Source organism: Homo sapiens, chromosome 17 (genome assembly GCF_000001405.40).
Source record: "Homo sapiens chromosome 17, GRCh38.p14 Primary Assembly".
Taxonomy (NCBI): domain Eukaryota; kingdom Metazoa; phylum Chordata; class Mammalia; order Primates; family Hominidae; genus Homo; species Homo sapiens.
The window spans coordinates 67,986,677-68,009,413 of NC_000017.11; the positions used below are offsets into that span (position 1 = coordinate 67,986,677).

At 48.0% G+C, this 22,737-nt stretch overlaps 1 protein-coding gene across 3 annotated transcripts, besides 5 other annotated features; it reads right to left on the reverse strand.

Annotated features, from left to right (window-relative positions):
* Window positions 1-4,422: 4,422 nt before the first annotated feature.
* C17orf58 (chromosome 17 open reading frame 58) lies at window positions 4,423-9,793 on the reverse strand. 3 transcript variants are annotated; one of them, NM_001382359.1, is made up of 4 exons: window positions 9,447-9,793; window positions 6,748-7,308; window positions 6,368-6,559; window positions 4,423-5,427 (listed from the first exon to the last, which is right to left on the reverse strand). In NM_001382359.1, the coding sequence occupies exons 1-4, from the start codon at window positions 9,520-9,522 to the stop codon at window positions 5,237-5,239; spliced, it is 1,020 nt and encodes a 339-aa protein (NP_001369288.1). In that variant the 5' UTR covers window positions 9,523-9,793; the 3' UTR covers window positions 4,423-5,236. The 3 variants fall into 3 exon arrangements, with proteins under 3 accessions (NP_001369288.1, NP_858041.2, NP_858042.2); NM_181655.4 differs by lacking the exon at window positions 9,447-9,793 and having other exon boundaries at window positions 6,748-6,930; NM_181656.5 differs by lacking the exon at window positions 9,447-9,793 and having other exon boundaries at window positions 6,225-6,559; window positions 6,748-6,930.
* Window positions 6,419-6,468: an enhancer, noted in NCBI's record as "active region_12634". NCBI's record gives its function as "activates an Ori minimal core promoter by ATAC-STARR-seq in GM12878 lymphoblastoid cells {active_cell/tissue: GM12878}" and the evidence as "EXISTENCE:reporter gene assay evidence [ECO:0000049][PMID:35858748]".
* Window positions 6,709-6,768: a silencer, noted in NCBI's record as "silent region_8880". NCBI's record gives its function as "represses an Ori minimal core promoter by ATAC-STARR-seq in GM12878 lymphoblastoid cells {active_cell/tissue: GM12878}" and the evidence as "EXISTENCE:reporter gene assay evidence [ECO:0000049][PMID:35858748]".
* Window positions 6,879-6,958: a silencer, noted in NCBI's record as "silent region_8881". NCBI's record gives its function as "represses an Ori minimal core promoter by ATAC-STARR-seq in GM12878 lymphoblastoid cells {active_cell/tissue: GM12878}" and the evidence as "EXISTENCE:reporter gene assay evidence [ECO:0000049][PMID:35858748]".
* Window positions 7,009-7,268: a silencer, noted in NCBI's record as "silent region_8882". NCBI's record gives its function as "represses an Ori minimal core promoter by ATAC-STARR-seq in GM12878 lymphoblastoid cells {active_cell/tissue: GM12878}" and the evidence as "EXISTENCE:reporter gene assay evidence [ECO:0000049][PMID:35858748]".
* Window positions 9,023-9,112: a silencer, noted in NCBI's record as "silent region_8883". NCBI's record gives its function as "represses an Ori minimal core promoter by ATAC-STARR-seq in GM12878 lymphoblastoid cells {active_cell/tissue: GM12878}" and the evidence as "EXISTENCE:reporter gene assay evidence [ECO:0000049][PMID:35858748]".
* Window positions 9,794-22,737: the final 12,944 nt, after the last annotated feature.

Here is a 22,737-nt window from a genome sequence, read left to right on the forward strand (position 1 = left end):
GGTGGCTCACAAGGTCGGGAGTTCGAGACCAGCCTGGCCAATGTGGCAAAACCCTGTGTCTACTAAAAATACAAAAAGTAGCCGGGCCTGGTGGTGGGTGCCTGTAATCCCAGCTACTTGGGAGGCTGAGGCAGGAGAATCGCTTAAACCCAGGAGGTGGAGGTTGCAGGGAGCCAAGATTGTGCCACTGCACTCCAGCCTGGGTGACAAGAGCAAGACTCAGTCTCACATAAATAAATAAACAAACAAACAGTGTATGTGTTTTATAGACGTTTTCCTACCCAAAGAAAAACAAGTGCTTGGCTGGGCGCGGTGGCTCACACCTGTAATCCCAGCACTTCGGGAGGCTGAGGCGGGCGGATTGTGAGGTCAGGAGATTGAGACCATCCTGGCTAACACGGTGAAACCCCGTCTCTACTAAGCATACAAAAAAAATTAGCCGGGCGTGATGGCGGGCGCCTGTAGTCCCAGCTACTCGGGAGGCTGAGGCAGGAGAATGGCGTGAACCCGGGAGGCGGAGCTTGCAGTGAGCTGAGATTGTGCCACTGCACTCCGCAGTGCGAGACTCCGTCTCAAAAAAAAAAAAGAAAAGAAAAAAAAGAAAAACAAGTACTTTTTTCCCTTGAATTGTAAAATAATAGCTTCATTTGAAGGAGGGATGCTATTGAATTACTACTGAAGGCAAGAGAGTATTCCATTTAGGGACTATTAATGTGTGCACATAGGCACAAACCCATTTGCTAAGAAAAATCTATCAATGGGACAAGATTATAAGAAACTATAGTGCATTTGCTCATTAAAATTTTCCATCAAATTGGCAGGGCGCAGTGGCTAATGCCTGTAATCCCAGCACTTTGGGAGGCTGAAGTGAGTGATTCACTTGGGGCCACAAGCTCAAGACCAACCTGGGCAACACGGCCAAACCCCGTCTCTACTAAAAGTACAAAAGGCCAGGCATGGTGGCTCTCAACTGTAATCCTAACACTTTGGGAGGCCGAGGCAGGTGAATCACTTGAGATCAGGAGTTCTAGACCAGCCTGGCCAACATGGTGAAACCCCATCTCTACTAAAAATACAAAAATTAACCGGGCGTGGTGATGGGCGCCTGTAATCCCATCTACTCGGTAGGCTGAGGCAGGAGAATCGCTTGAACCCGCGAGGCAGAGGTTGCAGTGAGCCGGGATCACGCCACTGCACTCCAGCCTGGGTGACAGAGTGAGATGCCATCTCAAAAAAAGGACAAAAGTTAGCCGGGCATTGAGGCCGGGCGCGGTGGCTCACGCATGTAATCCCAACACTTTGGGAGGCCGAGGTGGGCGGATCACGAGGTCAGGAGATCGAGACCATCTTGGCTAACACAGTGAAACCCCGTCTCTACTAAAAATACAAAAAAATTGGCCAGGCGTGGTCACCCAGGCTGGAGCGCAGTGGCGAGATCTTGGCTCACTGCAAGTTGCAAGCTCCGCCTCCCAGGTTCATGACATTCTCCTGCCTCAGCCTCCCGAGTAGCTGGGACTACAGGCGCCCGCCACCACGCCAGGCTAATTTTTTGTGTTTTTAGTAGAGACGGGGTTTCACCATGTTGGCCAGGATGGTCTCGATCTCCTGACCTAGTGATCTGCCCGCCTCGGCCTCCCAAAGTGCTGGGATTACAGGCGTGAGCCACTGCGCCCGACACAGACCTGGTTTTGAATGAAGACCTTAATGTTTAGCCAGGAAGTTTCTAAGAATCTGGCCTGCATGTGTTTGCCAAGGTGTGCATGTTAACTATGTGACCTCCAAGTATCACAGGTATCACAGCTCTGGCACTTTTTTTGTTTCCAGAATTACCCAGAAACGGACTATTATCAAACCAATCTAAGTCAAACCCTAAACTTAAGCTTCAGGATTATGTAAAAGTTATTTTTTTCCTTTTTCTTTATTATTATTATTTTTTTTTTTTGGAAACTGGGTCTTGCTCTGTTGCCCAGGCTGGAGTGCAGTGGCACAGCTCACAGCAGCCTTGACCTCCTGGGCACAAGCCATCCTCCTACTTCAGCCTCCCAAGTAGCTGGGACCAAAGGCACACGCTAGCACGCCTGGCTAATTTTTTTATTATTTGTAGCGATGAGGTCTTGCTATGTTGCCCAGTCTGGACTCAAACTTCTGGCCTCAAGTGATCCTGCCTCGGCCTCCCAAAGTGCTGGGATTACAGGCATGAGCCATTACACCTGGACCTTTTTTAAACTAGAGTTATTTCAGCAGGATACAGACTAAAATTAAAAAATCAGCCCAGCGCAGTGGTTCACGCCTGTGATTCCAACACACGCAGGCCGAGGGGGTTGGATCACTTGAGGTCAGTAGTTCAAGACCAGCCTGGCCACCATGGTGAAATGCTGTCTCTACTAAAAATACAAAAGTTAGCCAGGCATGGTGCTGGGCACCTGTAATCCCCAGCTACTAAGGAGTCTGAGGCAGAAGAATCTCTTAAACCTGGGAGGTGAAGGTTGCAGTGAGCTGAGATCACACACCACTGCACTTCAGCCTGGGTGACAGAGCAAGACTCCGTCTCGAAAAAATATTCCAGAACTATTTATAACTTTTCTCTTTGTTTTAACATCTGAGCATCCAACCAATAACTTATCTATTTGGTCATCTTTTTTTTTTTTTTTTTTTTTTTTGAGACGGAGTCTCGCTCTGTCGCCCAGGCTGGAGTGCAGTGGCGCGATCTCGGCTCACTGCAAGCTCCGCCTCCCGGGTTCACGCCATTCTCCTGCCTCAGCCTCCCGAGTAGCTGGGACTACAGGCGCCCGCTACCACGCCCGGCTAATTTTTTGTATTTTTAGTAGAGACGGGGTTTCACCGTGTTAGCCAGGATGGTCTCGATCTCCTGACCTCGTGATCCGCCCGCCTCGGCCTCCCAAAGTGCTGGGATTACAGGCGTGAGCCACCGCGCCCGGCCCTATTTGGTCATCTTGTAGTTGTCTCCACCACATTATTCGAGATAACCACTTAGCCTTTGTTTGTTTGTTTGTTTTTGAGATGAAGTCTTGCTCTGTTTCCCAGGCTGGAGTGCAATGGCACAATCGCGACTCACTGCTACCTCTGCCTCCCGGATTCAAGCGATGCTCCTGCCTCAGCCTCCCGAGGAGCTGGGATTACAGGCATCCGCCACCATGCCCAGCTAATTTTTCTATTTTTAGTAGAGATGTGGTTTCACCATGTTGTCCAGGCTGGTCTCGAACTCCTGACCTTGAGATCCACCCACCTCGGTCTCCCAAAGTGCTGGGATTACAGGAGTGAGCCACCGCGCCTGGCCTAGCCTTTAGACATTTAAAAATTCAACTTTGATTTGACTGGCCTGAGTTATGCCCGAGTTAGTTTTTTATCTTAAAGAAAACTAACTCAGGAAGTCTTCATTAGCTATGTACTCTATCACCAATAGTTCATGTAATAATGCTGCTGACTCCCAAAAAGCGATTCTAGTAAAATTTATAAGTTTGGACAAAACTCATTTTTGAAAAATACTTGAAAAATCCCTCAGTAGTGCTTTACCATGGAACACTCAGAACCTCTCAACCCTTTATTACCTGTATGCCCCATAATTGGAACAAATAATAGTATCAGATATTGTAATGTTGGGCTATTGCTTCTTGGCTCCTGTGATTCCCTAGCGTCCCATCCTGGATGTCCTTTAGGTGCACAGTGCTACTACTGTGTGCCATGGACAGTGTCAGGACACATTCTGAGCTTCCTGAGTGCATCACTGTGAGGCCAAATAGGCTGTTCTCTCTCCAGTGAAGATTCCTTTCTGTCTTTAGGCAGTCATCTTCATCTATGCATTAGTGGTGTCTCTGTTCACCATGCTTCATATAAACTAAAGTACAGCCTGATCTTCCGAAAAAATACTCTTTTGTGGACTCAAGTATAAAATCAATATTTAATTTAGCTAGTGATTAAACCATTTTTTTGTTGTTGTTGTTTGTTTTTTGAGATGGAGTTTCGCTTCTGTTGCCCAGGCTGGCATGCAGTGGTGTGATCTCGGCTCACTGCAACCTCCACCTCCCGGGTTCAAGCGATTCTCCTGTCTCAGCCTCCCAAGTAGCTGGGACTACAGGCACCCACCACCACGCCCGGCTAATTTTGTATTTTTAGTAGATACGGGGGTTTCTCCATGTTGGTCAGGCTGGTCTCGAACTCCCACCCTCAGGTGATCCGCTGGCCTCGGCCTCCCAAAGTGCTGGGATTACCAGCATGAGCCACCACACCCGGCCAATTAAACCTTTTTAAAACCAACTGAAAAATGTTTAAAATTCGCTTGCTTGTGAGCCGTCATTGGTGAATATTGGTTCCAAGGTTTGGGGAATGAATTTGAGAAAGCCTTTTTCTCAAACCTTTAGGGCTCAGTAAGGCTAAAACAAAAACAAACAGGTGCATCCAAGATCTGATTTCAAGTCAAGATTTATTGCTTTACAAACAAACATTATACTTGGTCTTAATAGAAAAATGACACCAGATACATCCAAAATACATTTCACATTGGGATAGCTGCCAGTTCAGCACAAAACATACATTACTAGGAGCAGGGAGGCATGAAAATAAACTATATCTTACTTTTTGGTACGTCAGGAACACTTTTGCCTGAAGTAAGCCCTTTAGTACTATTTTTTATTTTATTTATTTTTTTAATCCACCCATCTGCACACTGGCCCTTTAGTACTCTTTAAGTATAAAACTTTAATACTTGTCCTGGGCTTTGACCCTTGTGTTTGATCTAAATGACATTTCAAACATAAATGTCTTTTGACTAGTGCGCTTACTGTTATGTACAGAATTTAAAATGTGATCGTTTGAATATAAAATCTGGTTTGATACATGATATAAAAGTTGTATATTTAAATTCAAGAAAATGTTTTTGTGGACTATTTCTACTAAAGAATATTAAATTAAAATAATTTAAAAACTTATGAAGCAATGATCTGTTAACTGGACAGGTCAATTATCTGAGCTGTGTAAATCATTGTCTGGCACTACAGTTGAATCACCTTGACACTGAGCTCAGGAGCAGCCCATTTAAGAAGCATCTTGTAAATAACAAAGTGACACCTTCGAGATTACAGTTGCAGCTATGCAAGTCATTCACAGAGTAGCTGAGGGCTCTCTTCTGAAGGAGGACCCATTACATGAAGGTAGACCTTTCATGTCTTGTTGCCGACGTCCAAGTCTCTTGCGGTCCAGAAATGCCAGGATGGTTGTTTCAAATGCATTGGGTATGAATTGCACCTTGAATCTGCCCTTCCCTTTTTCGATTAAACCTTTTCACATAGCTGCTGCTGCTCCTTAGCAGTCCATCCCCTGGACGGAGGCGGCCTCTCAGGACCTGGAGCAGAGCTGTAGGGAGCTGCCGTCTCTTATGGTAGATGTGGCCCATCACAATATACCTGCTGCCTGGACAAAATAACCAGAACATTAATTCATAGTGTCTTTTAAATGCCATGAAACAGAAAATGTAAGGCCTTTAAGAAACGCCTAAGCTGCAATCTATTATCTTGCTGCACAAGTTGAAACTGATATTGAGTCTACAGGCATCTGGTGGAAACAGCCTAGCCACCTTTACAAGATAACCAACCAGGCCGGTGTGGTGGCTCACGCCTTTAATCCCAGCACTTTGGGAGGCCGAGGTGGGCAGCTCACTTGAGGTCAGGAGTTTGAGACCAGCCTGGCCAACATGGTGAAACCCCGTCTCTACTAAAAATACAAAAATTGGCAGGGCGTGGTGGCGCATGCCTGTAACCCCAGCTGCTTGGGAGGCTGAGGCAGGATAATCGCTTGAACCCGGCAGGTGGAGGGTGCAGTGAGCCGAGATCGAACCACTGCACTCCAGCCTGGGCGACAGGGCAAGACTCAATCTCAAAAAAAAAAAAAAAAAAAAAAAAAAAGCAGTATGTAACCGGACCACATTACAGAACAAAGGTCCTTATCACAATCTATCAGGATTTCCCAGAGCACATGTCTAGAAAGATGTGGGAGTGGGTATTCCCCGCTACCAACCCCACATACACACCCAAAAAAGCAGCTTTTCTAAACTCGGTTCTGTACAGTCCCTTCTGGCAATGGTGTTTGGTCGTCCACCCCATTTGTCAACATCTATTTATTGACAGCCCGCTTTGTGCCAACCCTTGCTGTTCTCACCCTTGAGGGTGGGGGCTGACAGGGCTTAAATCACAGAGTGGCCGGAATAATACCTGTCGTCTAAATCCCATTCATGTCATTGTTTCCCATCGCTCCCAAAAAAAGGCTGGGCGACCTACAGCCCGGGCTGTGGCACCCACGTTACAAACGGTGGTATAAAGTACATATGCAGCGTCATTCAGGTCAGTTTCAATACCAGGTTTAAACTCTGGACACGGCTTATTGCAGCTGGAGGAGTCCAGGGCTAACATGTGGACTCGGAAGAAGAAGCCGTCGGGGGTGAGGTACAGGCGGTTCATCTTGTACAGCCCGTCCCGATCCACCAGCAGGGTCACCAGCCGGATGCCCGCGCCCAGCACGTCCACATCGTGCACGATCCCGTTCACCGCTGCTTCCGAAAAACAGTTTGGAGAAGAGCATTACCCCGAGTTCCTCTCCCAGTCCCCCAGGAGGTGGTTTTTAGCAACCGCGAAACGGCCCGCACGGGTCAGGCGCCCTGGGATCTCGCGGGCGGATTCTCCGGGGCTCGGAAAGGCTCGCGGGGCGGCGGGGCGGCGGCGCGGCGGCCGGGCTCACCGAATTCGCTCTCGCAGAACGCCTCGCGTTCGTCCAGATCGGACCGGCAGGCGCGCGCGCAGGGCTCAGCGCCGGGCTCCGCGTCCCTCTGCGGCGGGCTGAGGCCGAAGCTGAGGCTGAAGCGCGGCGGCGGCGCGGGCGCGGGTCCCGGGGCCAGCGCGGCGGCGCGCGGCCGGTTGGGGTGGGCGTGGCCGGCGGAGCCCTCGGTGGCGAGCGCGGGCGGCCGGGCGGCGGGGAAGCGCAGGGCCCGTGAGCGCGCGCGTCGCGGGGCGTCCTCCGACGCGGGCTCGCGGCGCGGCGACGCGCGGTTCTCGGCTTGCGCCAGGCGCGGGCCCGGCGGGCCAGCGGGCGCGCGTGCGGCCTCCCGGAAGCTGGCCTGGTTGTCGGCCGGCGGTGGGGGCTTCCGGCGGCGCGGGTCAGGCCAGGCGCGGGCGGCGGGAGCGACCTCGGCCGCGCGCGGCCGCTGCGGGGCCTCAAGGAGTGGCTGCGCGCGGGGCCCCGGTGTCTCCTCCGCGCTCGGGCAGCCGCGGGAGTCCGGCTTTCTGCTGTGCGGCGGCGAGGCTGTGGGGAGAGAAGAGGAGAGGCGGGAAGGCGGTGGGGGAGGAGAAGCAGTGAGGGGAGGCCGTCGGGGAAAGCCGAGGAAGCCGAGAAGGAAGAAGAGGGAAGGGGAGGCTGAGACGGGAGGCCGAGAGGGGAAGGGAAGCCAGGAGGGGAGGAGGCCGCTAGTGGGGCAGGGGCGCTGCAGAAGAAGGGCTCTGGGAGGGGGAGAGGAGATAGAGGACAAGGGAGGCTTCGCAGGCACCTGCAAGAGGAGAGATGGGAGGGAGGCCCGGAGGCCTGGAAGTGAAGCAGGGAGAACCCGGACGCAGCGTCGCGGCCAAGCGGGGCACGCGCTTCCCAGGCCCCAAAGGAAGAAGGATACGAGGGTCTTGACCTCTAAGATTATAGCTTTTAAAATTACAACCCCCTATTTACTCTAAGACTAAACATGTCTTACAACACTGGTTAGATAACAAACTTTTTTGCCCTTCCTTTAATATATACGTATATGTGTGTATGTGTGCGTGTGCGTGTGTGTGTGTGTGTGTGTGTGTATATATATATATATATATAAAACATATATAAACATCCGCCTCTTTGCTATTTACAGTTTGTTGAGAAAGTACCAAGAGCAAACCCCAGGGGGAAAGGTCTCATATTACAGGTTCTCCTAATTCTTTAAGCGCCCCTGACAACAGAACTATTTGGTTTTCCCATCCATGTTTACACTGTCATCCCGGTCTCTGCAGAATCGAGCATTTGTAAGTGGATTTTTATCTGGCTTCTTGGACACCACTTACTGGTAAACCACAGCTAAGGAAGGTTTTAAAAGCTTGGCTGGGAGGCAGAGAGGCCCCTGGTTAAGTATAAAAGCACACGTCGCTTACATTTTTTTCCCCATTAGATGATGGAGGAAAGACTCCTAAATGGTATGGCATGAAAACAAATTTTTAAAATTATTAATGATTTTCCCTAGTTCTGCAGACAGGTTGGTGAGTAAACCTCAGCCAGCTTGGGAGCTGGGCACCTTTCCATACCAGTTACACAATTTCACCTCCTTGCTTGCCTGGGTCCCAGTGCCCTCCAAACAGGCAAGAACTAGCCTTTATTTTTCTCTCCCCTTGCATTAAAGAGATGGATCTGCCCATTTGCAGCTCTGGCAACACTTCATTTAAAGTTGATCAGTCTTGCCAAATCGATAATCTGCTTTAAAATCAGCTTTCACCCAGCAATAATAGCTGGTTAGAGTTCATGTTTTTGCAAAGAGGTTGATTCTGACTCATTATGTTGTTAAACGGTTGTGCCATGCACAGCTGAATAAAGTTCTGGTGGATATCCAATTCCTGACTGTCAACTGTTGACCTCACAACTGCTTCCCCATTGATATAACCATCTGTTGTCATGGGAAAGATTGTCTGATATTTGGGTTAAATGCCACTGAAGTCATTCAATTTCCATGTGGAAAAATAACCCAGAGTAAATTGCCCTGTGAGGTACGGAAACTGTTTTTCCCAGAGATAGCGAAGCCGACAGAACATCCAAATAAAAGCAAAACAAAAACACGATCCCCCAGAGAACCCCTCATTTCTTCACGGGCTGAGTAACTTAATTTCATTTCGTGCATGAAGTATAAGAGTGTGTGCGTGTTAGTTAAACCCCGGCTCAGGTGTCCCAAGGTTGTGCGCTGGGGCTGCGGGGAGAGCAAAGTGCCCGGGGCTGCCGGATTTCGGCCCCGCTTCCCCCCAGCCCTCCACAGCGCCCCCCGCAGCCCCTGCTCACCCAGTCGAGGGGGGCGGACCCCGCGGCGTCCTGCGAGCCCGGCCCGGGCACGGCTCCCGAAAGGCGCGCCACGACCCCTTTTGACACTTTCCCTCCTCCGTGATGGAGCAACTACTTAACATGCAAAGTTTTCCCCAGCCTGCCCGGCTTGCTCGGGATCATTTCAGTAGCTAAATTGGCTTCTTTCCGAAAAGGCTGCCAAGAGACACGAAACCTTGGGGACACACTTTGCTCCTTTATAAGACGAACGCAGACCCGGGGTGTCCTCTCTTGCGAGCTCTGACCCCCCTCCTCGTCCCACGTTTCACTGAGCCTCCTTCCCAGCTCCCCCCCACAGATCCCCGCTCCGCTCCCAGGGCCCCGCACTACACCAATCTTACTTTTTCTCTCCGCCACCGGTGCTTCGGGGGATGATCCGACGATCAAACAGAGGAGCCAGAAAGCTCTAGCTGTCATTTTTGCAGACAGGGTTCCCAGGCTCTAAAAGTGAGCCTGGTCTTTTGCTTGCTTTCTCTCCCCCAACCCCTTCTCCACACCCCCACCCCCGTTCATGCTAATGAGGGGCAGCCTTTGGGGAAACGGGAATCACTCGCTGAGCAGACCATTGGAACAAAACCGAGCCGCAGGGATTTCTCCCTCTTCCTTCCTAAGGAGGACGAGCACATGGCCTTGCAAAGTTGTCCCCGGGAATGTCTGTCCTGTGATCTGCGGGCGAGGAGAGCATCACAGCCTAAACTTTAAACCTGTGTGCGTTTGCGCGCTGGGGTGGGGGCAGCAAAGGGTGGGGTGACAAGTGCAGAGAATAAGCGTGTTTCGGGACTGAGGGACTGGGTGGGGGAGAACGAGTGACGGGAGCTTTTTTCTAGATTAGGTCAACAACAAATAGGAAAATAGTGCTTAAGACAGCGTGGGTTTGTGGAAGGGAGATTCCAGATGACAGAGAATGTATCCTGGAATGTGTGTGTTAGGCAATTTCTAGAGAAACCAAGTCACTGCTTCCTTAGTAAAACTGTTTCATTATATATCACAGCTCATTGTAACCTCTGCCTCCCGGACTAAAGCGATTCTCGTGCCTCAGCCTCTCAAGTAGCTGGGATTACAGGCATATGCCACCATGCGAGGCTAATTTTTGTATTTTTAGCAGAGACGGGATTTCACCGTGTTGGCCAGGCTGGTCTCAAACTCCTGACCTCAAGTGATCCACCCACCTTGGCCTCCCAAAGTGCTGGGATTACAGCATGAGCCACCACGCCGGGCCCAGAGGTCTAATTATTAATCAGAATGTTGCCTGTTGAGGCCAGGCAGGGTGGTTCATGCCTGTAATCCCAGTACTTTGGGAGCCCGAGACAGGAGGATCTCTTGAGCTCAGGAGTTCAAGACCAGCCTGAGCAACATGGAGAGAACCTGTCTCTACAAAAAATACAAAAATTAGCCAGGCATGGTGGCTCGCATCTGTGGTCCCAGCCACTTGGGAGGCTGAGGTGGGAGGATCACTTGAGCCTAGGAGGTGGAGGTTGCAGTGAGCCGAGATTGTGCCACTGCACTCCAGCCTGGGTGACAGAGAGAGGCCCTGTCTCAAAAAAAAAAAAAAAAAAAAAAGAAGAAGAAGAAGAAGAAGAAAGAAAAGAAAGAGGAGGAGCCAGGCACAGTGGCTCACGCCTGTAATCCCAGCATTTTGGGAGGCCAAGGCAGGCGGATCACGAGGTCAGGAGTTCAAGACCAGCCTGGCCAAATTAGTGCAACCCTGTCTCTACTAAAATTACAAAAAAGTTAGCAGGGTGTGGTGGCACACACCTGTAGTCCCAGCTACTCAGGAGGCTGAGGCAGGAGAATCGCTTGAACCTGGGAGGCAAAGGTTGCAGTGAGCTGAGACTATGCCATTGCACTCCAGCCTGGGTGATAGAGTGAGACTTTTGTCTCAAAAAGAAAAAAAAAAAGAGGAGGAGGAGGAGAACGAAGAAGAAGAAGAAGGAGAGCAGGGCCAGGTGTGGTGGCTCACGCCTGTAATCCCAGCACTTTGGGAGGACAAGGTGGGTCGATCACGAGGCCAGGAGATCCAGACCATCCTGGCTGACACAGTGAAACCCCGTCTCTACTGAAAATACAAAAAATTAGCCGGGCGTGGTGGCGGGCGCCTGTAGTCCCAGCTACTCAGGAGGCTGAGGCAGGAGACTGGCGTGAACCTGGGAGGCGGAGCTTGCAGTGTGGCGCCACTGCCCTGCCCTCCAGCCTGGGTGACAGAGTGAGACTCTGTCTCAAAAAAAAAAAAAAAAAAAAAAAAGAAGGAGAGGAGGAAGAGGAGGAGGAGGAGGAAAGAAGTTTGCCTGTTGAGCATTAAATCAAAGAAAATAAATTTGCTGGCTGGGTGCGGTGGCTCAACCTGTAATCCCAACACTCTGGGAGGCCAAGGTGGGCAGATCACGAGGTCAGGAGTTCGAGACCAGCCTGGCCAACATAGTAAAACCCCATATCTACTAAAAATACAAAAATTAGCGAGTCATGGTGGCGGGCACCTGTAATCCCAGCTACTTGGGAGGCTGAGGGAGGAGAATCGCTTGAACCCAGGAGGCAGAAGTTGCAGTGAGCCAAGACTGCGCCACTACACTCCAGCCTGGGCAACAGCACAGGACTCTGTCTCAAAAAAAAAAAAAAAAAAAGAAAAAGAAAAAGAAAAAAAAGAAAAGAAATTTGCCTGTTGAGCATTAAATCAAATTGCAGCTAAGGAGATGAGCTAATCTTCCCTCATTCAGGTGTTAGAGGAGTGAATTATATTCTCCATCCAAAAGAGTAAACCTCTACAGCCCCTGCAAAGCTTGGGTATACCAGAGTCAGGGTCTCCAGACCCTAGACAAGACCAGATAAACACTAGTAAATTCATGCCCTTGGGGCCCTGTTTATAGATGTCCTCAGATCCCCTTCTTTCACGTGCTCTTTCTTTAAGTCAAGTGGAATAAAATTCACTAGGCTTAAGATTTCTCAGTTACAACCACATCTCTAACATACCTTCTTACCATTACATTCAAATCACCCAGAACCTATTGGGGGTGTTCCCGAAACTCTTCTGTTGCAGGAATGTTGTGAATGCCCTGAAACCCACACCCTGAAATGTAGAGGCAGGGAGCAGGCTGGATGGCTCCCAGGGGCTCCCAGAGGCTCCTGGGGTGGCACCAGCTGGAAGAACCTGCCAGAGTCCAGTCCTGGGTCTTGGGCAGTGTCTGGCTTGAGCCTTAGAAATCACACTAATGGGCCAGGCGCGGTGGCTCACGCCTGTAATCTCAGCCCTTTGGGAGGCTGAGGTGGGCGGATCACCTGAGGTCAGGAGTTTGAGACCAGCCTGACCAACATGGTGAAACCCTGTCTCTACTAAAAATACAAAAATAGCCAGGCATGGTGGCAGGTGCCTGTAATCCCAGCTACTTGGTAGGCTGAGGCAGGAGAATCGCTTGAACCCGGGAGGCGGAGGTTGCAGTGAGCCGAGATCGCACCATCGCACTCCAGCCTAGGGGACAAGAGCGAGACTTCGTCTCAAAAAAGAAGAAGAAGAAAAAAAAGAAACCACACTAATGGTGGAAGGTACAAAGAGTTCAAAGAGACTGATCTATGTAGCCAGAATGCCAGTTTATTAATTTACAATGAGAAATCAAATCAGAAATGCAAACTCATGTCAGCCTGGGTAGCATTCTCTTTCTATAAACAAGCCACAGAGGAAGCCAAGTTATCCTCAGGGTGCTTGGTAATATAAACCAGAGCCTGGGGAGTTTGTCACCTGATTGGAATGTTTAACAGTATTGGTTTCTGACAGCCTAAGTGTTTGTCTCTGCAATAGGTGTGTATACCTGTCAGGAGGAAGAACCCAAGAGACCAACTGGCATTCCCTTCCTTGATAATTTCTGGTATTTTGAGTGTGTGTTTCTGCTTAGCAGATATTTATTGAGCATCTACTCTGTGTTGTATAATAAAGAATTTGAAGTCCAGGCGCAGTGGCTCACACATGTAATCCTGGCACTTTGGAAGGTTGAGGCGGGCGGATCACTTGAGTTTAGGAATTCAAGACCAGCCTGGGCAACATGGTGAAACTGTCTCTACAAAATAAAAATAAAAATAAAATAGCCAGCTGAGGTGGTAATTCTAGAGAACTTGAATTCTCTAGAGTGACTCACAGAACTCAGGATAGCATTTTACTTACAATGAGTTGTATTATTATTTTGTTGGTTCGTTATTTTATGTTTCTTTTCTCTTATTTTAATAGAGATGGGGGTGGGGGCCAGGTGCAGTGGCTCACTCCTGTAATCCCAATACTTTGGGAGGCTGAGGAAGGCAGATCATTTGAGGTCAGGAGTCCAAGACCAGCCTGGCCAACATGGTGAAACCCCATCTCTTACTGAAAATACAAAAATTAGTTGGGTGTGGTGGTATGCACCTGTAATCCCAGCTATTCAAGAGGCTGAGGCAGGAGACTCACTTGAACCCGGGAGGCAGAGGTTGCAGTGGGCCGAGATCATGCCACTGCACTCCAGCCTGGGTGACAGAGCGAGACTCCGTCTCAGAAAAAAAAAAAAAAAAAAAATTATCTTCGTTTTAATGCACATTTCTTTAATGGCAGGTGAAATTTTACATTTTTTTCATAGATTTATTGGCCATTTGCATTTCTTCTTTTGTTAATTGCCTGTTCATATGGTTTGTCTATATATGTTCCAAATATTTCCTGTCAAAATTTTGTTTGTTAAAACCTTTTAGTGATTTTTGCCATAGAACTTTAAAATTATGTATCATAAAATCCATCAAAAATTTTTTTTTTTGAGGCGGATTTTCGCTCTTGTTGCCCAGGCTGGATGCAATGGCGCCATCTTGGCTGACTGCAACCTCTGCCTCCTGGGTTCAAGCAATTCTCCTGCCTCAGCCTCCCCAGTAGCTGGGATTACAGGCATGCTCCACCACGCCCGGCTAATTTTGTATTTTTAGTAGAGACGGGATTTCACCATGTTGGCCAGGCTGATCTTGAACTCCTGACCTTGTGATCCACCCTACTTAGCCTCCCAAAGTGCTGGGATTACAGGTGTGAGCCACTGCGCCTGGCCGAGAAAGACTTTCTTGAAATCAAAATTATATATATATATATATATATATATATATATATATATATATATATATATATATACACACACACACACACACATATATATACACACACGCGCATATATATATATATATATATATATATATATATAAAATCTCCGTATATTTTTATAATGCTTATAGTTAAATCTTGATTCCATCTGGAATTTATTTTGGTATTGTAGTCTGATGTAAGAATCTAATTTTAATTTTTTCTTGAGTAACAGAAAGTTGTCTAATCCAATTGACAGATAAATCCATCCCTTCCTAAATCTGAAATCTGAGCTATCATCTTTAACATAGACAGTATATTTTTTTATTTTTTTAATTTTTTTGAGATGGAGTCTGGCTCTGTAGCCCAGGCTGGAGTACAGTAGTGCGATCTTGGCTCACTGCAACCTTGGCTCACTGCAACCTCCACCTCCCAGGTTCAATCGACTCTCCTGTCTCAGCCTCCTGAGTAGCTGGGATCATAGGCACACACCACCATGCCTGGCTAATTTGTATATTTTTAGTAGAGACCCGGTTTCGACATGTTGGACAGGCTGCTCTCAAATTCCTGGCCTAAAGTGATCCCCCCGCCTTGGCCTCCCAAAATGCTGGTATTACAGGCGTGAGCCACCGTGCCCGGCTAGGGTATTATCATTTTCTTCGTCTAAGCTCTAAACATTTCTTCTTAGATTTAATTCCTGGGTATTTTATATTTTTGATGTAATGTGGATAGCATATTTTTTCTTTTATATTTTCTGACTGGTTTTAGTAGGTGTCTAGAAAAACTACTAAGCTCTTTTTCTTTTTTTTTTTTTTGAGACGGAGTCTCGCTCTGTCGCTCAGGCTGGAGTGCAGTGGCGCGATCTCGGCTCACTGCAAGCTCCGCCTCCCGGGTTCACGCCATTCTCCTGCCTCAGCCTCCCGACTAGCTGGGATTACAGGTGCCCGCCACCACGCCCGGCTAATTTATTTTGTATTTTTTTAGTAGAGACGGGGTTTCACCGTGTTAGCCAGGATGGTCTTGATGTCCTGACCTCGTGATCTGCCCGCCTCGGCCTCCCAAAGTGCTGGGATCACAGGCGTGAGCCACCGCGCCTGAACTTTTTTTTTTTTTTTTTTTGAGATAGAGTCTCGCTCTGTCGCCCAGGCTGGAGTGCAATGGCGCGGTCTCAGCTCACCGCAAGCTGGGCCTCCCGGGTTCATGCCATTCTCCTGCCTCAGCCTCCAGAGTAGCTGGGACTACAGGCGCCCGCCACCACGCCAGGCTAATTTTTTGTATTTTTGGAAGAGACGGGGTTTCACCGTGTTAGCCAGGATGGTCTCGCTCTCCTGACCTTGTGATCCGCCTGCCTCGGCCTACCAAAGTGCTGGGATTACAGGCGTGAGGCACCGCGCCAGCCTGTTTTTTTTTTTTTTTTTTTTTTTTTTTGAGACGGAGTTTCGTTCTGTCGCCCAGGCTGGAGTGCAATGACGCGATCTCAGCTAGCTGCAACCTCTGTCTCCTGGGTTCAAGGGGTTCTTCTGCCTCAGCCTCCAGAGTAGCTGGGACTACAGGTTCACGCCACCACGCCTGGCTAATTTTTTGTATTTTTTGTAGAGATGGGGGTTTCCCCATATTGGCCAGGCTGGTCTCGAACTCCTGACCTCGTGATCCACCTGCCTCGGCCTACCAAAGTGCTGGGATTACAGGCATGAGCCACTGCGCCCAGCTCAAATATTCATTTAGCTTTTTTATTGCATTAATAAGAGCTCTTTTTTTTTTTTTTTTTTAGACGGAGTTTCGCTCTTGTTGCTCAGGCTGGAGTGCAATGGCGCGATCTCGGCTTACCACAACCTCCACCTCCCAGGTTCCAGCAATTCTCCTGCCTCAGCCTCCGTAGTAGCTGGGACTGCAGACATCCACCACACCCAGCTAATTTTGTATTTTTAGTAGAGATGGGGTTTCTCCATGTTGGTCAGCCTGGTCTTGAACTCCCAACCTTAGGTGATCCGCCTGCCTCGGTCTCCCAAAGTGCTGGGATCACAGGTGTGAGCCACCACGCCCAGCCATGCATTAATAAGAGGTTTCTTTTTTCTTTTCTTTTTTTTTCTTTTAGACAGAGTTTTGCTCTGTTGCCCAGGCTGGAGTGCAGTGGCACGATCTCAGCTCACTGCAAGCTCCACCTCCCGGGTTCACGCCATTCTCCCGCCTCAGCCTCCTGAGTAGCTAGGACTACAGGTGCCCGCCACCACGCCTGGCTAATTTTTTTGTATTTTTAGTAGCGACGGGGTTTTACTGTGTTAGCCAGGATGTTCTCAATCTCCTGACCTCGTGATCCGCCTGCCCCGGCCTCCCAAAGTGTTGGGATTACAGGTGTGAGCCACTGCGCCCGGCCTTAATAAAAGCTTTCTAAGCTTTGTTAATAATACTAATCATAGCCATCATCTTTGTTTTATTAATATTCCTCATTTTTAGAGAGCATTTCAAATATTTTACTTTCAAGTAACTAAAAATTTGATTTTACACGGATTATATAGAGCTATTTTTTTTTTTTTTTTTTTGAGATGGAGTCTCGCTCTGTCCCCCAGGCTGGAGTGCGGTGGCACGATCTCGGCTCACTGCCAGCTCTGCCTCTTGGGTTCACGCCATTCTCCTGCCTCAGCCTCCCGCGTAGCTGGGACTACAGGCGCCTGCCACCACGCCCGGCTAATTTTTTTGTATTTTTTTTATAGTAGAGACAGGGTTTCACCGTGTTAGCCAGGATGGTCTCGATCTCCTGACCTCCTGATCCGCCCCCCCTCGGCCTCCCAAAGTGCTGGGATTACAGGCGTGAGCCACCGCGCCCGGCCTATATAGGGTTATTTTTATCCACACTCCTGGGCTGTTGTTTTTGCCTTAGGAATCTGACAAATATTCATATTTCCTTGTTATGTTATCAGTGTTGATATTCTACTTTCGGCCTTCCATTTTATCTTCTATCTCTACTATTATTTATTTGCTTGTTTATTTATTTATTTATTTATTTATTTATTTTTTGAGACAGGGTCTCACTGTTGCTTAGGCTGGAGTACAGTGGCAAAACTCGATCAAGGCTCACTGTGGCCTTGACCTCCCGGGGCTCAGGTGATTCTCCTACCTTCGCCTCCAGAGTAGCTGGGACTACAGGCACGCACCACCACACCCAGCTAATTTTTGTATTTTTTGTAGAGATGGGGTTTCATCATGTTGGCCAGGCTGTTCTCCAACTCCTGGGCTCAAGCTATCCAACCTCCTTGGCCTCCCAAAGTGCTGGGATTATAGGCATAACCTACCACACTCGGTTTTCCTCGTTATTCTAGGAGACATTCCGGAATTTGTACATTTGTTGCTGATTTCATTTTCAGGAGCATCAGTTCTGCCTTTTGCTCTTTCCAATAAGGATCTTCTTTCCTTTCTCCCCTCCCCTCCCTCCGCCCCCGCTTTTTTTTTTTTTTTTTCTTTATTAATAGAGATGGGATTTCACCCTGTTGCCCAGGCTGGTCTCAAACTCCTGGGCTCAAGCTATCTGCCCATCTGGGCCTCCCAAAGCCCAGGGATTAAGGGAGTAAGCCACTGCACCTGGCCCCAGTAAGGGGTTGAAAGCTCAGGAATTAATAGTCAGCTTCCTTTTTTGTTCATCCTGTTGTTTGTTCATTTCAGTCTATTGCCTTCTTATAATTTCCTTCTTTACAAGGACTATTTCTCCTTGTTTTGTTTTTGTTTTTTTTTGAGACGGAGTCTCACTCTGTCACCCAGGCTGGAGTGCAATGGCGTGATCTCGGCTCACTGCAACCTCTGCCTCCTGGGTTCAAGCGATTCTCTTGCGTTAGCTGCCCAAGTAGCTAGGATTACAAGTGCAAGCCACCACACCCAGCCAATTTTTTGTATTTTTAGTAGAGATGGGGTTTCACCATGTTGGCCAAAATGGTCTTGATCTCTTGACCTTGTGATCCGCCCTCCTCAGCCTCCTAAAGTGATGGGATTACAGGCGTGAGCCACCGCGCCCAGCCGAGAGTGCCTGTTTCTTAAAATTGTCTTGGCCAGGTACAGTGGCTCACACCGGTAATCCCAGCACTTTGAGAGGCCGAGGCAGGTGGATCACCTGAGGTCAGGAGTTTGAGACCAGCCTGGCCAACATGGTGAAATCCGTCTCTACTCAAAATACAAAAATCAGCCGGGCCTGATGATGGGCACCTGTAGTCCTAGCTACTCCGGGTGCTGAGGCATGAAAATCACTTGAGCCCACGAGGCAGAGGCTGCAGTGAGCCGAAATTGCACTACTGCACTCCAGCCTGGGCAACAGAGCAAGACGCTGTCTCAAAAAAAAAAAAAAAATATATATATATATATATATATATATGTATGTATGTATTTGGCCCGGCACAGTGGCTCACGCCTGTAATCCTAGCACTTTGGGAGGCCAAGGTGGGTGGATCGCTTGCGGCCAGGAGTTTGAGACCAGCTGGGCAACATGATGAAACTCTGTCTCTACTGAAAATACAAAAATTAGCCGGACATCATGGTGCTCGCCTGTAGTCCCAGCTGCTCAGGAGGCTGAGGCAGGAGAATTGCTTGAACTTGGGAGACAGAGGTTGCAGTGAGCTGAGATGGTGCCACTGCACTCCAGCCAGGGCAACAGAGTGAGACCCTGTCTCAAAAAAAAAAAAATAATTGTCTCTAGGATTATTTGTCAACATTATGTGAGGTATGCTCTGCACATTTTTAAGGAGAAAATATTTTTATTTTTATTATAAAACATTCAAAGTTATAGAGAATAGTGTAATCAACAGCTGCACAAATATAACCCAGTTTTATCAGATCTTAGTATTTTCCCATACTTGTTTCTTTCTTTTTTTTTTTTCCAGTGGTTAAAAAATTACAAATATAGTCGGGCGTGGTGGCTCAGGCCTGTAATCCCAGCACTTTGGGAGGCCAAGGCAGGGGGATCACTTGAGGTCAGGAGTTGTAGACCAGCCTGACCATCATGGAGAAACCCCGTCTCTACTAAAAATACAAAATTAGCCAGGCATGCTGGCGCATGCCTATAATCCCAGCTGCTTGGGAGGCTGAGGCAGGAGAATCACTTGAACCCAGGAGGTGGAGGTTGCAGTGAGCCGAGATCATGCCATTGCACTCCAGCCTGGGCGACAGAGCAAGACTCCATCTCGAGAAAAAAAAAATTACAAATATAGTTTGTAGTAACCATCCTCCAAGTAGCCAGCCCCCAGTGTGCCCACTTTTTGGTATTCACATCCCATATAGTCCCCACCTACCCTGTAGCAGGGTTGGTCTGGAAGACTGATAGGATAGGATAATATACACTTCCAAGATTAGATTACAGAAAGACTGAACTCTTTTTTTTTTTAATTTTTTATTTCCATAGGTTATTGAAGAACAGTTGGTGTTTGGTTACATGAGTCAGTTCTTTAGTGGTGATTTGTGAAATTGTGGTGCACCCATCACCCGAGCAGTATACACTGCACCTAATTAATAGCCTTTTATCTGTCAACCCCTTCCCACACTTTCCCTCTGAGTCCCCAAATTCCATTGTGTCATTCTTATGCCTTTGCATCCTCATAGCTTAGCTCCCACTTATGAGTGAGAACGTAGGATGTTTGGTTTTCCATTCCTGACTTACTTCACTTGGAATGATAAGTCTCCAATCCCATCCAGGTTGCTGCAAATGCCATTAATTCATTTCTTTTTATGGCTGAATAGTATTCCATTGTATGCATATATATATATTATATATATATATATATATACACACACACACACACACACACACACACCACGGTTTCTTTATCCACTCATTGATTGATGGGCATTTGGGCTGGTTCCACATTTTTGCAATTGTGAATTGTGCTGCTATAAACATGCATGTCCAAGTATCTTTTTCATATGACTTAGAAAGACTGAACTCTTATCTGGGGTGTGTGTGTTCTTGCTGTCTCTCTTTTAGCTCATTCACTCTGGCTATGTGGGGAGGACATTCAAGCAGTCTATGGAGATGTCCATGTAGCAAGCCAGTGATGTCTTCAGCCAACATTCAGTAAGAAACTGCAGCCTGCCAACAACCAATGAGCGACCTTGCATGCATATTTTCTGCCAGTTGAGTCTTCAGATAAGAGTGCAGCTCCAGGCCACTGCTTGACTGAAACATCCCGAGAGACCTGAGCAGAACCATCCAGCTAAGTCCCTCCCAGATTCCTGGCCCACAGAAAGTGTGATATAATAAATGGTTTTTGGCCGGGCGTGATGGCTCATGCCTGTAATCCCAGCACTTTGGGAAGCCAAGGCGGGCAGATCGCCTGAGGTCAAGGGTTGAAGACCAGCCTGGCCAACATGGTGAAACCCCATCTCTACTAAAAATACAAAAATTCGTGGTGGCAGGTGCCTGTAATCCCAGCTACTCGGGAGGCTGAGGCAGAAGAATCACTTGAACCTGGGAGGTGGAGGTTGCAGTGAGCCGAGATTGCACCATTTGCACTCCAACCTGGGGGACAAGAGCGAGACTTCATCTCAAATAATAATAATAATAAATATTTTTTGTTTTAAGCTGCTAAGTGTTGGGAATAGTTTTTTTTTTGAGATGGGTCTCACTGTGTCGCCCAGGCTGGAGTGCAGTGGTATGATCATGGTTTATTGCAGCCTCAACCTCCCAGGCTCATGGGATCCTCCCATCTCAGCCTCCCAAATAGCTGGGATCACAAGTGTGTACCACCACACCTGACTTTTTTTTTTTTTTTAAAGTAGAAACAAAGTCTTGCTGTTGCCCAGGCTGGTCTGGAATTCCTGGGCTCAAGTAATCCTCCCTCTTCAGCCTCCCAAAATGCTGGCATTACAGGCATGAGCTACCATGCCTGGCCCAAGTGTTAAAGGCTTTTTTAAATTTTATTTTTATTATCATGTTTTTCTTTTGTTCAAAGTGTTAAGTCTTTTTTTTTTTTTTGAGATGGAGTCTCGCTCTGTTGCCCAGGCTGGAGTGCAGTGGCACAATCTCAGCTCACTGCATCCTCCACCTCCCAGTTTCAAGTGATTCTCCTGCCTCAGCCTCCTGAGTAACTGGGATTATAAGCGCATGCCACCACACCTGGCTAATTTTTTGTATTTTTAGTAAAGACAGGGTTTTACCATGTTGGCCAGGCTGGTCTTGAACTCCTGACCTCAGGTGATCCACCGGCCTCGGGCTCCTAAAGTGCTGGGATTACAGGCGTGATCCACCATACCTGGCCTAGTATTAAATCTTTATAACAACATAATTACAAGCTTGAGACTTCTATTACCCTGTTTTACAGATGAGTAACTGGGGCACAGTAAGGTTGAGTAATTTGGCCAAGGTTATACAGCTAGTAATTACATGATACCAAAACTGATAGCTTCTGCCAGTGCTCTTAATATAAGGTTGAAAGAGGCCGGGCGCGGTGGCTCACACCTGTAATCCCAGCACTTTGGGAGGCCGAGGCGGGCAGATCACGAGGTCAGGAGATCGAGACCATCCTGGCTAACACGATGAAACCCCGTCTCTACTAAAAATACAAAAAATTAGCCGGGCTTGGTGGCGGGCGCCTGTAGTCCCAGCTACTCAGGAGGCTGAGGCAGGAGAATGACGTGAACCCGGGAGGCAGGGCTTGCAGTGAGCCGAGATGGCGCCACTGCACTCCAGCCTGGGCGACAGAGCGAAACTCTTGTCTCAGAAAAAAAAAAAAAATAATAATAATAATAATAAGAAGGTTGAAGGAAAAAAGAAAAGAGCCAATTAACATAAAACATAGCTGTTAGAAGCCTCCTTCTACAAATGGCCATGAAGTCTAAGTCGATAATTATATCTGCTTTCTTTTTTTTTTTTTTCCTTTTTTGAGACAGAGTCTTGCTCTGTCGCTCAGGCTGGGGTGCAGTGGCGTGATCTCGGCTCACTGCAACCTCCACCTCCCAGGTTTGAGCGATTCTGCTGCCTCAGCCTCCAGAGTAACTGGGACTATAAGCATGCACCACCATGCCTGGCTAATTTTTGTATTTTTAGTAGAGACAGGGTTTCACCATGTTAGTCAGGCTGGTCTCGAACTCCTAACCTCAGGTGATCCACTCGCCTCACCCTCCCAAAGTGCTGGGATTACAGGCGTAAACCACCACACCCAGCCAATAATCATAGCTGCCTTCTTCCACCACTTCTTCCAGTCCCCTTTTGAAGGATGCCTCACAGGGACACCCAATACTTTATTCCCATAAGACCTGACTTCTTGGTGGTCTTGTTTTTACTGGGTTGCTCTACTTTTCCATTAACCAGGTCTTAGGGTCAAGAGCCTGCTAAGATGTGTCCCCAGTGAATTTTTGGTTTCCAGACATAGTCTCCTTCCTCTTTTAAGTAACAGAGCCATTTTCCTCTTGCTAATCATATATACAGAGGCTAATTCAGTGATGGTTTTAGTCAGCTCAGGCTGCTATTACAAAATACCACATACTGGGTGGCTTAAACAACAGATAATGATTTCTCACAGTTCTGGTGGCTAGGAAGTCCAATATCAGGTAGATAGCATGATTGGGTGCTGGTGAGGGCTCTTTTCCTA